This window comes from Homo sapiens, chromosome 3, assembly GCF_000001405.40.
Source record: "Homo sapiens chromosome 3, GRCh38.p14 Primary Assembly".
NCBI classification, from domain to species: Eukaryota; Metazoa; Chordata; class Mammalia; order Primates; family Hominidae; genus Homo; species Homo sapiens.
In genome coordinates this window covers 137,002,159-137,015,788 of record NC_000003.12, presented here as the reverse complement: position 1 = coordinate 137,015,788, position 13,630 = coordinate 137,002,159, and the positions used below count along the sequence as shown (strand labels likewise).

The window sequence follows — 13,630 nt, the reverse complement described above, 5'->3', positions numbered from 1 at the left end:
AAAAATTAGCTGGGCATGGTGCCAGGTGCCTGTAATCCCAGCTACCCAGGAGGCTGAGACAGTAGAATCGCTTGAAGCGGGGAAGCGGAGGTTGCAGTGAGCCAAGATAGCACCACTGCACTCCAGCCTGGTTGACAGAGCAAGACTCCATCTCAAAAAAAAAAAAAAAAAGTTCAAGTGAGACAGTGAGCAGTTAATGTCAATGAAATGATTTCACCTGGGAAAGCTTGTCCTCGTGATTGATGCAGGTGGGATGACATCAGAGGGGCCTACTTTCTGGGCTGTGATCTCCTAGGGCCAGAAACTCAAGATGATGTTTTGTAGGCCTAATCTTATACTGAGGCAATTTCATAGAAGACTGGCTGGCATCTCCAGGAAATTTGGAGGCATGTGGCCACTTCCTAGAGGAGCTGTTTTAGGTACAGAGGCAAAATTTAGAAGTTACTGAGGTTTGTTCAGGCACTCATTTCTCCAAACGCCAGGATGGTTTTTTTGTTTGTTTGTTTGTTTGAGACGGAGTCTCGCTCTGTTGACCAGGCTGGAGTGCAATGGCGGGATCTCAGCTCACTGCAACCTCTGCCTCCCGGGTTCAAGGGATTCTCCTGCCTCAGTCTCCCGAGTAGCTGGGATTACAGGCGCCTGCCACTACATCCGGCTGATTTTTGTATTTTTAGTAGAGACGGGGTTTCACCATGTTAGTCAGGCTGGTCTCGAACTCCTGACCTAAGGTGATCCACCCGCCTCGGCCTCCCAAAGTGCTGGAATTACAGGCGTGAGCCACCGCGCCCGGCCACCAGGGTTTTTTTTGTTTTTGTTTTTTTGTTTTTGTGGGGTTGTTTTTTAACGTAGTTGTTGTTGTTGTTGTTTGTTTAATTTTCTCAGTGAGGTCCAGTGAAGGAACCAGGAACATGTACCTCCTCCACAATATGAGGATTTATACTTTTGCTCTTGGAGATGTTTGCAGGCACCTGAGAAGGCTCCTTGCTCAGTTCTTCCTCTAAGGTCCTCCTTAATGGGGTTTTACAACCTGATCTTGCAACCTCTCACTGGGGGAGACAAGAAAGGTCCGTGTTTTCCTTTTGTGAGCCTCATTCTCCCACCTCTGGCAAGGATACGTTTTTCCAGGTTTTGTTGTTGTTGCTGAAGAAACTGGGAGTCCCAGGAGCCAGAAGAGAAAGCTGTAATTTGGGGCCAACTCTAGTGTTCCAGTTCCAAACTTCACAGGCTGGGCAGCACGCTGGTTTAGCATGAGCAAGCAGCAGGCAGGCTCCTCCCTACTGATCTGTGCGGGGGCTGAGGAACACTCCTGGAAAGTCAGTCTAGTAAAGGGATCCTACAAATAGGTCACACAGAAGGAAAACAAAAAGACATCCAAAAAAAGTCTATTTCCGAGAGGTAGGGAATGGCAGCATGGTGGAAAGATCAACAGACAGGAGAGTGCGAGAGGCCAAGGTCCCAGAAAAGAGCGAGAGCCGTGGGTACAGCGTGAAGCCCCAAACCATGAGCTCGGGACAGATACAGACACAGAGCGAGGAGAAGGTGGCTGCTAAATTCTAACTCCACCAGTGACAGTGGAGGTTTGTTAAGGACCAAGCCCGTGGAAACTGTGTAACTGAGTTATTATTCTAGGAAACCGACCTGAGCTTTCCTTTCTTCATCCAGGAAGCCCAGGGAGTTTCATTGCGAGTGGGAACAGAAAACATTTTCAGCACTGACCACAAGGTGGCGCCAGACGCCCGTGGATGTAATGGGTCTTCCCCTCCTGGTGAGCTCCGAAGCTGGCCATGGGATCAAGTCCTCCAGATTGAAAGGAAACCAAGAGGTCTGCAGGCCCGGAAAGTTACTCTAGCCTAAGGATAATACACGGCACAAGGAAAATAATAAAAAACATCTTTACTAAAGAGACGGGGAGGGTTGGCCCAGAGACTAGACCGGCAGAGTCTACAATTCTTCTGTGAAGGGAACTTAAAAGACTTTTCCACCGAACCCCTTGACAGGACAGGGAGAGCCAAGTGGGGAAAGACTGGACGTTAAGGGGCGGAGAGGAGCCTTTAGAGGAGAAAAAATGCCTTCTGACTGATGGATTTACATTTACTGGTATTCCTCATTGACACGATAAACGAGTCGATAAGCCCAACACGATTGAATAACAAGTAGAAATGCATTCTATTAGATTCATCTTCTCTGAGAATGCATTATGGTAGCTTCGCTCTTCTTGGGTGTCATGGACTGATGACTTTTCAAATATATGGTATCAATTGTGCCAGCCAATATTCTCCTTCTGGTGCTTATATTGTCCCAACTTTGGCCAGGAGGAGCCCTGTATAGATTGTTCCTTGTGTAATTTTGAATGACCCTTATTTAATGCTTTGCTTTCTGTCTCAAAAAGGTATAGGTGTTTTAAGATTACCTTGTACCTTTCAACTCCAAACTGACATGGCATCCATTACTGCTCCAAGAAACTTTGGCTCCTTTGGGAGAAAACTAACACTAGAAACCAAAATCTTAGCATTAAGATGCATTGTGGAGGTGACATTTCTCCTGGGCCATTTCAGTGGAAAAAAGTCAAAATATTTTTAATGTCATGTTTCATAAAGACATGACTTCATATTAATATGTTTGATTCAGTTCCAACAGTGCCCTGTTCTTAGTCAAATTTGGGATCCTAAAATTAGCCTTCCTTGTCACTAATCCTAAAATCTAGATTCTTATCAAAATATACAAAATATATATTATTTACTTGCTTTATCTGATAAGATAATAGTTGCAAAAATACACTATCAATACAAAGGGATAAATACTCAATAAAGTTTTTGTTTTAGACTACATACACCTACGGATTTGTTGCCAAATTACTTTGTTCTAGAATCTCTCATAATATCTCACACCATGTGGCTATGCAGGGACTTATCTGACAGGTAGTTCTGGGTCCATTGTTTCCATCCACTTTCATTTTGAAGAGGCTGCAACCTGCCCCCAGCCCCCGTTTTCTGCTCTACTTTTTCATTTTACCGTGACTTACAAACTCCCAATATACTAAATAATTCACTGAATAATAATACTGTTATTGTGTTATTATTTCTCCCTTACCCCATTGGAATGTAAGCCTCATGGAGCAGGGATTTTATTCACTGGACCCTGGCAGTTGCACCCTAAAGGCAGGACTAAGAAAGCTGGGCTTGATTCTGGGGGCTCAGGGGACTCTACTGGGTTGGCCTGCAAGAGACAGTCTTCAGTGAAACAGCAGAAGCCACTCTAGGCTGCTCCCAAATACTTATCCCCCCACAACACACACACACAAGTACTTCCCCCAATTCCCACAGGACTCAATGAGAAACTGTGAAAACAAAGCAAGCCAGTAGTGCTGAGCCTGAGCCCCTGGACTCAGTGACTGGGCATCTGGAGGGTTGGAGCTTCTAGAAAAAGAATGTGGCAGGAAGCTGTGCCTTATGATGAGAGTGACCTGGCTCCTGGTTTGCCCAGAGGAGTCCCGATTTACAGCTGTGGTCCTGCCGTAATTACTAATCACATTCCTTTTCACTCATGTAAGTGTCCAGATGTAGGGATAAATGCATTGGAGGGGCAGGGAGGAGGCCTGGGGACTTGGGATAGAAGTGCTCCAGGGGAGAGGGAACAGCCAGCTGTAGAGGAGGCAGCCCCTCCACCAATGGGGGCTGGCAGGTCGGGTGCATGGCTGGGGCTCCATAAATGCACATTCAGGGCAAGGGGAGACAACAGAAGAATCAAGAGAAATCTCTGTGTACCTATAGATGCCAAAAAATGGATGGGCACTGGGAATAGTTGTGAGAGACTCAAGCAGATGGAGGTCAGGGTCCTTTCTCAGTTCTGCGCCTGGGCTGTGACAGAAGGATAGTGCCCCCCACCACCCCACCATAAGGGGGCAGGAAGAGAGAGGAGGGAGGGTGATGACTGGAATAGTAATATGGTCTTTGTTTTTGCAAACTGAAAGTGTGTTTCTAGTTTAGGTCAAATATAAAATTAGCACACACCCTCTAACGAACAACACAGAGAAGCATACAAAATAACACAAAGGAAAAGAAGGAACGGGTCTTGAGCGATCTCATGCTCCTGGAGAGACCCCTCCAGGTGGTGAAGGGCTGTGGGCCTCTGGGGAAACACCCAGTTGATGCAGTTAGACTGTCCCACCACTGGGCTGGCTGGAAAGGGCCCAGGAAGTGAGGGTGAAGATAAACCAACTTGGAGGCTCCAGAGCTTCGAGGGGGTTAGAAAGCAAGGCGCAGGCCCTGCCCATCAATCCCTTCACCCCTCAAGAAGTTTCCTCCCATCATTCCTTCTCTGTGGTTGGCTCTTTTCTTCACCTGGTGGGGCAAAGGGGTGGGTAGAAGCTTCCAGAGGTAGGTCCTAAATGAGCAGACTAAGAGGGGCTGGGGATACCCTGAGTAAGCTGTCAAGGAAAAGAGGGTTCCCCAGGGATTTCCTGTGGGGTGGGGCCAACAGGAAAGGCTTAGGAGCACCTAACCAGGCGAAGCTTATGCCAGCTGCCTCAGTTGGGGTTCTCATGCAGCCAGAGGCTGCCCCCAACCAGGCAGCCCTGGGCTCTGGACTTCTGGGGCTGCTCCTCCGCTGCTCCCATCCCCACCCCCACCCCCACCCCGAGTCCTCTTGACCAAAGGTATCCTTTGGAGCCTCTCTGGACTTGAGGTTGAAAATGTAACTAGAACTTTAAAGACCGCTTTTGGCCAGGGTGGCCCTTTTTATTTGCTGAATTCTGTACTTTACCAACAGAAAAAAGGAGCACAACAAACATGCACATGTTACTGACTTCTGCATTCTCGTCGCATTGCACACATACATTTCACCTGCTGTCTGCAGTGTGCACACACTGTCAACACTTTACAGTAGTTCATGGATCCTCCGTGTTCATGCACATCCCATTTTCAGTGTGGCTGTGACCTTCCTCCAGGTCACCTACTGTAGAGCTCGCTAAGCCATTCCCCTCTGCACCGGCATTGGGCTTGAAGTGAACTCAACACCATTGCTCCCATGATTCCTTTTCTCTCAAGGATTATTCTGGGAAAGTGGGCTCTCCAAGCCACCCAGTGTGTAGAGTCCTTGATCATTCTCATCATACATTTATGTCCTGCTCTCCAGAAACACTGAATCAGTCAGACTGTAGAGTGTCACCAGTTTCCCTCTAGCCTTGCAAGTGCTGGGTGTATTTATGTGTACGTGTGTATATATAGAGAGAGACTCTGTGTGTGTGTGTTTAGCAGGTGTGTAGGTAATTCCCCCATTACAGATGAGAAAACTTAGGACCGAAGGGATGAAGTCACTTTTCCCAGGGTTGCTCAGCCAGCAAGTGGCAGCCCCCAGTCTAGAGGTCACATCCCCTAAGCCTCAGTCAGTGTTCTGTTAGACAAACCACCCTGCCTCTGATGGTTGCTTCTAGACTTGTAGACAACAGGCTCTTCCTACTTCTCTCATCCCTTGTCCGTGGCGGAAAACAGAAACACAACTTGTCCCCTCATGGTTTCCATGTCATGCAGACCAGGTTCTCGGCTTCACCTGGGCCCTTCCGCAAACCTATGAGATCCAGGCCCTGAGGAGTTCCTCAGGAGACATCACAGCCGTGGCACAGGCATCCACCTCCTCCCTTCTGCAGCTGATTAACTTCTGGGGTGAATTGGTTATTTTCTGAAAAATAATTTTCATTAATATTCATTAGAGGATAGCAGTAGTAGTAATACTAAAGAATATTATTACATTTTTAACTATTTGATTAATTAATTTCCAAGCAGCAAAAACAAAAACCAAAAAACAATTTCAAGCCCTAGATCAGGGGCTTCCAACATTTGCTAAGAATATCTCCCAGTTCACTACCCTACAGTTCCCTTGAAGCCCTGCTTGGTCAGAGTTCCTCATTCTAAGACCCTGCCCCACAAAAACCCAGAATGTAATTCTGGTTCTTAAAAAAAAAATTAAAGGCAGGTGCAATGGCTCACACCTGCCTTGGGAGGCTGAAACAGGCAGATCGCTTGAGCCCAGGACTTAGAGACCAGCCTGGGCAACATAGCAAGGCTCCCTCTCCACAAAAAATAAACTAGCCAGGCATGGTGGCACATGTCTGTGGTCCCAGCTACTCGTGAGGCTGAGGCAGGAGGATCAATTGAGCCTGGGAGGTCAAGGCTGCAGTTAAGCTCTGATCACACCACTGCACTCCAGCCTAGGTAACAGAGCAAGACCCTGTCTCAACAACAACAACAACAACAAAACCCTAACCTTCTTCCACCACAGAGCTCTGAGAATTATGACCTGGTCTGAGATGCTTTATGAACAGCACCTAGCATGGTGCCCAATACAGAGAGGATGTTCCATAAATGGGAGTCCCTTCCTTGCTCATATTTCAGGTTCCCGCCATCTTCTTTCAGTGGCCCCAGTACACAATCATTACTAGTTATAAACATGCAGACATCAACTTTTCAGGTGGACTCTCCCACCTATTACTCGCCTGCTCACCTCTGCCAAAATCTCTAGGTTCTTCTACAGTTATCTCTCTCGGCCCTTCTCCTCATCACTCCCAAGGGTACCATCTGGGCACAAATAGGCACAATGGTTTCCTCCACCTCAGTTCCTCAGGAGACATCAGCTTCATTGAGCCAGTCTCCCTTCATCCTTGTTTGCAAAGAGGCAGCCACAGAGGCTCACTCTTGGTGTCCATGGGCAAATGCCAACAGGAAGAGGCAACACACAGCAGCATTCACTAAGCGGGGGTGTTAGTGTGAAGCCCATTGGCTCGCTGCTGCTGGTGCAGTCAGATTCTCAGGACACTAACTCCCTACATCTGCAGTGGTCATACATGATCATTTTTTAAATTCCAGAACAGTGCTGTCCAATAGAAATATAATGTGAATCACATATGCAATTTTTAAAATCTCGTAGCACATTTTAAAAGTAAAAAGAAACAGGTGGAACTAATTTTAATAATATATTTTATTTAACAAATATATCCAAAATATTATCATTTTAACACGTCACTTAAAAAATGACTGAAATATTTTATATTCTTGTTTTATTCTGCCTTTAAAATCCATTCCATATTTTATATTTAAAATACATCTCAATTTGGACGAGCCACATTTCTACTGTCTAACAGATATGACTAGTGGCTACTGTATTAGACAGTGCAGTTCTAGCACATTAATGTAAAACAAACATCATAATCTCAGAATTTTGGAAGGTGCAAAACTGTGGTCCCACAGTTTAGAACTAATTTTCAAGCAAAGCTCAGCATATTTTATAAAATCGGAATCAGTTTTCAACATTTAAAAATCAAGAGATTTCTCATAAAAATCTAGATTTCTGGGCTTCTCATTTAAAACTTGGAGATCTGGCAGCACTGGCTCACACTTCCTCTTGGTAGCAACCTGCTGTCGCTGAGAAGATGAAACATATTTGCCATGATCCCCATCCCCCTCCCTATTGAGTTACATTCATTGCACTGCAAGTTCTTTCCTTTTGCTTTTTTTTCTTCTTTCCAGAGCCTGTGTGGACTCAGAGGCATCTGAGTTCACAAACTCCACTTTCTATGAAGCATGCAAGGTCATACTTGGACGGTTCATTGAAGAATTACTAATTTGGGACCATCTTTATGCTTGCTACCTACATTACAGCAGAATGTGACAGCAAGAAGAGAAAGAATAAAGTGAGTCACAGAAAGGAAACTGAGACCCTTCAGCACCAAAGCACCCATTCCCATGAAGCAAATACAGGTGCAAGACAAAGAAAATAAATTATATTTTTAAACAGAGACTATATACTGGGCAGAATTAATATAATTTTCCTTCCATATATAGTTTTGCTTTAGATTTTTACTTGGTGGGATTGCGTTCCAAGATGGCTGAATAGAAACACTCCAGTCTGCAGCCCCCAGTGTGAGCCATGCAGAAGATGGGTGATTTCTGCATTTCCAACTGAGGTACCTGGTTCATCTCATTGGGACTGGTTGGACAGTCGGTGCAGCCCACAGAGGGCGAGCTGAAGCAGGGCAGGGCATCGCCTTACCCGGGAAGCACAAGGGGCCAGGGGATTTCCCTTTCCTAGCCAAGGGAAGCCGTGACAGACTACCTGGAAAAATGGGGCACTCCCACCCAAATACTGTACTTTTCCCAAGGTCTTAGCAACTGGCAGACAAGGTGATTCTCTCTCGTGCCTGGCTCGGCAGGTCTCATGCCCATGGAGCCTTGCTCACTGCTAGCGCAGCAGTCTGAGATCAATCTGCGAGGTGGCAGCCTGGCTTGGGGAGGGGCATCTGCCATTGCTGAGGCTTGAGTAGGTAAACAAAGCAGCCAGGAAGCTCGAACTTGGCGGAGCCCACCACAGCTCAACAATGCCTACTGCCTCTAGACTCCACCTCTATGGACAGGGCATAGCTGAACAAAAGGCAGCAGACAACTTCTGCAGACTTAAACGTCCCTGTCTGACAGCTCTGAAGAGAGCAGTGGTTCTCCCAGCACAGCATTTGACCTCCGAGAACAGACAGACTGCCTCTTCAAGTGGGTCACTGACCCCCGTGTAGCCTAACTGGGAGACACCTCCCAGTAGGGGCTGACAGACACCTCATACAGGCAGGTGCCCCTCTGCGACAAAGCTTCCAGAGGAAAGATCAGGCAGCAATATTTGCTGTTCTGCAATATTTGCTGTTCTACAGCCCCCACTGGTGATACCCAGGCAAACGGTCTGGAGTGGACCTCCAGCAAACTCCAATAGACCTGCAGCTGAGGGACCTGACTGTTAGAAGGAAAACTAACAAACAGAAAGGAAGAGCATCAACATCAACAAAAAGGTCATCTACACCAAAACCCCATCTCTAGTCACCAACATCAAGACGAAAGGTACATATAACCACAAAGATGGGGAGAAACCAGAGCAGAAAAGCTGAAAATTCTAAAAATCAGAACACCTCTTCTCCTCCAAAGGATCACAGCTCCTCGCCAGCAATGGAGTAAAGCTGGATGGAGAATGACTTTGACGAGTTGACAGAAGTAGGCTTCAGAAGGTCGGTAATAACAAAATTCTCCAAGCTAAAGGAGGATGTTGGAACCCATCACAAGTAAGCTAAAAACCTTGAAAAAAGATTAGACAAATGGCTAACTAGAATAAACAGTGTAGAGAAGACCTTAAATGACCTGATGGAGCTGAAAACCATGGCACGAGAACTTCATGACGCATGCACAAGCTTCAGTAGATGATTTGATCAAGTGGAAGAAAGGATATCAGTCACTGAAGATCATATTAATGAAATAAAGTGAGAAAACAAGGTTAGAGAAAAAAGAGTTAAAAAAAAAAGTGAACAAAGCCTCCAAGAAATATGGGACTATGTGAAAAGACCAAATATATGTCTGATTGGTGTGCCTGAAAGTGTTGGGGAGAATGGAACCAAGTTGGAAAACACTCTGCAGGATATTATCCAGGAGAACTTCCCCAACCTAGCAAGGCAGGCCAACATGCAAATTCAGGAAATACAGAGAACACCACAAAGATACTCCTCAAGAAGAGCAACCCCAAGACACATAATTGTCAGATTCACCAAGGTTGAAATGAAGGAAAAAGTGTTAAGGGCAGCCAGAAAGAAAGGTCAAGTTACCCACAAAGGGAAGCCCATCAGACTAACAGCAGATCTCTTGGCAGAAATTCTACAAGCCGGAAGAGAGTGGTGGCCAATATTCAACATTCTTAAAGAAAAGAATTTTCAACCCAGAATTTCATATCCAGCCAAACTAAGCTTCATAAGTGAAAGAGAAATAAAATTCTTTACAGCCAAGCAAATGCTGAGAGATTTTGTCACCACCAGGCCTGCCTTACAACAGCTCCTGAAGGAAGCACTAAACATGGAGATGAACAACCAGTACCAGCCACTGCAAAAACATGCCAAATAGCAAAGACCATCGACGCTAGGAAGAAACTGCATCAACTAATGGGCAAAATAACTAGTTAACATCATAATGACAGGATCAAATTCACACATAACAATATTAACCTTAAATGTAAAAGGGCTAAATGCCCCAATTAAAAGACACAGACTGGCAAATTGGATAGAGTCAAGACCCATCAGTGTGCTGTATTCAGGAGACCCATCTGACATGCAAAGATGCACATAGGCTCAAAATAAAGGGATGGAGGAAGATCTACCAAGCAAATGGAAAGCGAAAAAAAAGCAGGGGTTGCAATCCTAGTCTCTGATAAAACAGACGTTAAACCAACAAAGATCAAAAGAGACAAAGAAGGCCATTACATAATAGTAAAAGGATCAATCCAACAAGAAGAGTTAGCTATCCTAAATATGTATGCACCCAATACAGGAGCACCCAGATTCATAAAGCAAGTCCTTAGAGAACTACAAAGAGACTTAGACTCCCACACAATAATAATGGGAGACTTTAACAGCCTACTGTCAATATGAGACAGATCAACGAGACAGAAGGTTAACAAGGATATCCAGGACCTGAACTCAGCTCTGCAACAAGCAGACCTAATAGACATCTACAGAACTCTCCACCCCAAATCAATAGAATACACATTCTTCTCAGCACCATATCGCACTTATTCTAAAATTGACCACATAAATGGAAGTAAAGCACTCCTCAGCAAGTAAAAGAAAAGAAATCACAACAAACTGTCTGTCAGACCACAATGCAATCAAATTAGAACTCAAGATTAAGAAACTCACTCAAAACCACACAACTACATGGCAACTGAACAACTTGCTCCTGAATGACTACTGGGTAAATAACGAAATGAAGGCAGAAATAAAAATGTTCTTTGAAACCAATGACAACAAAGACACAACGTAGCAGAATCTCCGGGACACATTTAAAGCAGTGTGCAGAGGGAAATTTATAGCACTAAATGCTCACAAGAGAAAGCAGGAAAGATCTAAAATTGACACCCTAACATCACAATTAAAAGAACTAGAGAAGCAAGAGCAAACACATTCAAAAGCTAGAAGAAGGCAAGAAATAACTAAGTTGAGAGCAGAACTGAAAGAGAGAGACACACAAAAAAACCCGTCAAAAAATAAATGAATCCAGAAGCTGGTTTTTTGAAAAGATCAACAAAACTGATAGACTGCTAGCAAGACTAACAAAGAAGAAAAGAGAGAAGAATCAAATAGACGCAACAAAAAATGATAAAGGGGATATCACCACCGATCCCACAGAAATACAAACTACCATCAGAGAATACTATAAACACCTCTACGCAAATAAACTAGAAAATCTAGAAGAAATGGATAAATTCCTGGACACATACACCCTCCCAAGACTAAACCAGGAAGAAGTTGAATCTCTGAATAGATCAATAACAGGCTCTAAAATTGAGGCAATAATTAATAGCCTAACAACCAAAAAAAGTCCAGGACCAGACGGATTCACAGCCGAATTCTACCAGCGGTACAAAGAGGAGCTGGTACCATTCCTTCTGAAACTATTCCAATCAATAGAAAAGGAGGGAATTCCTCCCTAACTCATTTTATGAGGCCAGCATCATCCTGATATCAAAGCCTGGCAGAGACATACACACAAAAAAGAGAATTTTAGACCAATATCCCTGAGGAATATCAATGCAAAAATTCTCAATAAAATACTGGCAAACCAAATCCAGCAGCACATCAAAAAGCTTATCCACCACGATCAACTCAGCTTCATCCCTGGGATGCAAGGCTGATTCAACATACACAAATCAATAAACATAATCCATCACATAAACAGAACCAAAGACAAAAACCACACCATTATCTCAATAGATGCAGAAAAGGCCCTTGACAAAATTCAACAGCCCTTCATGCTAAAAACTCTCAATAAACTAGGTACTGATGGAACGTAACTCAAAATAATAAGAGCTATTTATGACAAACCCACACCCAATATCATACTGAATGGGCAAAAACTGGAAGCATTCCTTTTAAAAACCAGCACAAGGATGCCCTCTCTCACCACTCCTATTCAACATAGTGTTGGAAGTTCTGGCCAGGCCAAGCAGGCAAGAGAAGGAAATAAAGGGTACTCAATTAGGAAATGAGGAAGTCAAATTGTTCCTGTTTGCAGATGACATGATTGTATATTTAGAAAACCCCATCGTCTCAGCCCAAAATCTCCTTAAGCTTATAAGCAACTTCAGCAAAGCCTCAGGATACAAAATCGATGTGCAAAACTCACAAGCATTCCTATACACCGTTAACAGACAGAGAGCCAAATAATGAGTGAACTCCCATTCACCATTGCTACAAAGAGAATAAAATACCTAGGAATCCAGCTTACAAGGGATGTGAAGGACCTCTTCAAGGAGCACTACAAATCACTGCTCAACGAAATAAAAGAGGACACAAACAAATGGAATAATATTCCATGCTCATAGATAGGAAGAATCAATATCGTGAAAATGGCCATACTGCCCAAAGTAATTTATACATTCAATGCCATCCCCATCAAGCTACCAATAACTTTCTTCACAGAATTGGAAGAAATTACTTTAAAATTCATATGGAACCAAAAAAGAGCCCGCATTGCCAAGAGAATCCTAAGCCAAAAGAACAAAGCTGGAGGCATCACACTATCTGACTTCAAACTGTACTACAAGGCTACAGTAACCAAAACAGCATGGTACTGGTACCAAAACAGAGATATAGACAAATGGAACAGAACAGAGACCTCAGATATAACACCACACATCTACAACCATCTGATCTTTGATGAACCTGACAAAAACAAGAAATGGGGAAAGGATTCCCTATTTAATAAATGGTGCTGGGAAAATTGGCTAGCCATATGTAGAAAGCTGAAACTGGATCCCTTCCTTACACCTTATACAAAAATCAATTCAAGATGGATTAAAGACTTAAATGTTAGACCTAAAGCCATAAAAGTCCTAGAAGAAAACCTAGGCAATACCATTCAGGACATAGGCATGGGCAAGGACTTCATGACTAAAACACCAAAAGCAATGGCAACAAAAGCCAAAATAGACAAATGGGATATAATTAACCTAAAGAGCTTCTGCACAGCAGAAGAAACTACCATCAGAGTGAACAGGCAACCTACAGAATGGGAGAAAAATTTTGCAATCTACCCATCTGACAAAGGACTAATATCCAGATTCTACAAAGAACTCAAACAAATTTACAAGAAAAAAAAAACCATCAAAAAGTGGGCAAAGGATATGAACAGACACTTCTCAAAAGGAGACATTTATGCAGCCAACAGACACATGAAAAAATGCTCATCATCACTGGTCATCAGAGAAATGCAAATCAAAATCACAATGAGATACCATCTCATACCAGTTAGAATGGCAATCATTAAAAAGTCAGGATACAACAGATGCTAGAGAGGATATGGAGAAATAGGAACACTTTTACACTGTTGGTGGGAGTGTAAATTAGTTCAACCATTGTGGAAGACAGTGTGGCAATTCCTCAAGGATCTAGAAATATAGTTACCATTTGACCCAGCAATCCCATTACCTGGTAGATACCCAAAGGATTATAAATCATGCTACTATAAAGACACATGCACACATAGGTTTATTGTGGCACTATTCACAATAGCAAAGACTTGGAACCAACCCAAATGTCCATCAATGATAGACTGGATTA

General features: G+C 43.8%; 1 protein-coding gene across 5 annotated transcripts in view, besides 2 other annotated features; it reads right to left on the bottom strand.

The window, feature by feature from the left end:
* Positions 999-2,011: a transcriptional cis regulatory region, noted in NCBI's record as "candidate enhancer chr3.4045 targeted for multiplex CRISPR interference". NCBI's record gives its function as "positively regulates MSL2 gene expression in K562 cells {active_cell/tissue: K562}" and the evidence as "EXISTENCE:mutant phenotype evidence [ECO:0000015][PMID:30612741]".
* Positions 4,704-13,630, bottom strand: part of IL20RB (interleukin 20 receptor subunit beta) — a 53,103-nt gene continuing 44,176 nt past the window's right edge. For all 5 annotated transcript variants that reach the window (XM_011512911.3, NM_144717.4, XM_011512910.4 and 2 more), the window contains exon 7: positions 4,704-5,676. In XM_011512911.3, coding sequence (XP_011511213.1) covers positions 5,566-5,676 — 111 coding nt within the window. In that variant the 3' untranslated portion in view covers positions 4,704-5,565. The remainder of the gene's footprint in view (positions 5,677-13,630) is intronic.
* Positions 8,227-8,728: an enhancer, noted in NCBI's record as "H3K27ac hESC enhancer chr3:136725903-136726404 (GRCh37/hg19 assembly coordinates)". NCBI's record gives its function as "activates a minimal SCP1, AML or CMV promoter by ChIP-STARR-seq in naive H9 embryonic stem cells {active_cell/tissue: H9 hESC(naive)}" and the evidence as "EXISTENCE:reporter gene assay evidence [ECO:0000049][PMID:30033119]".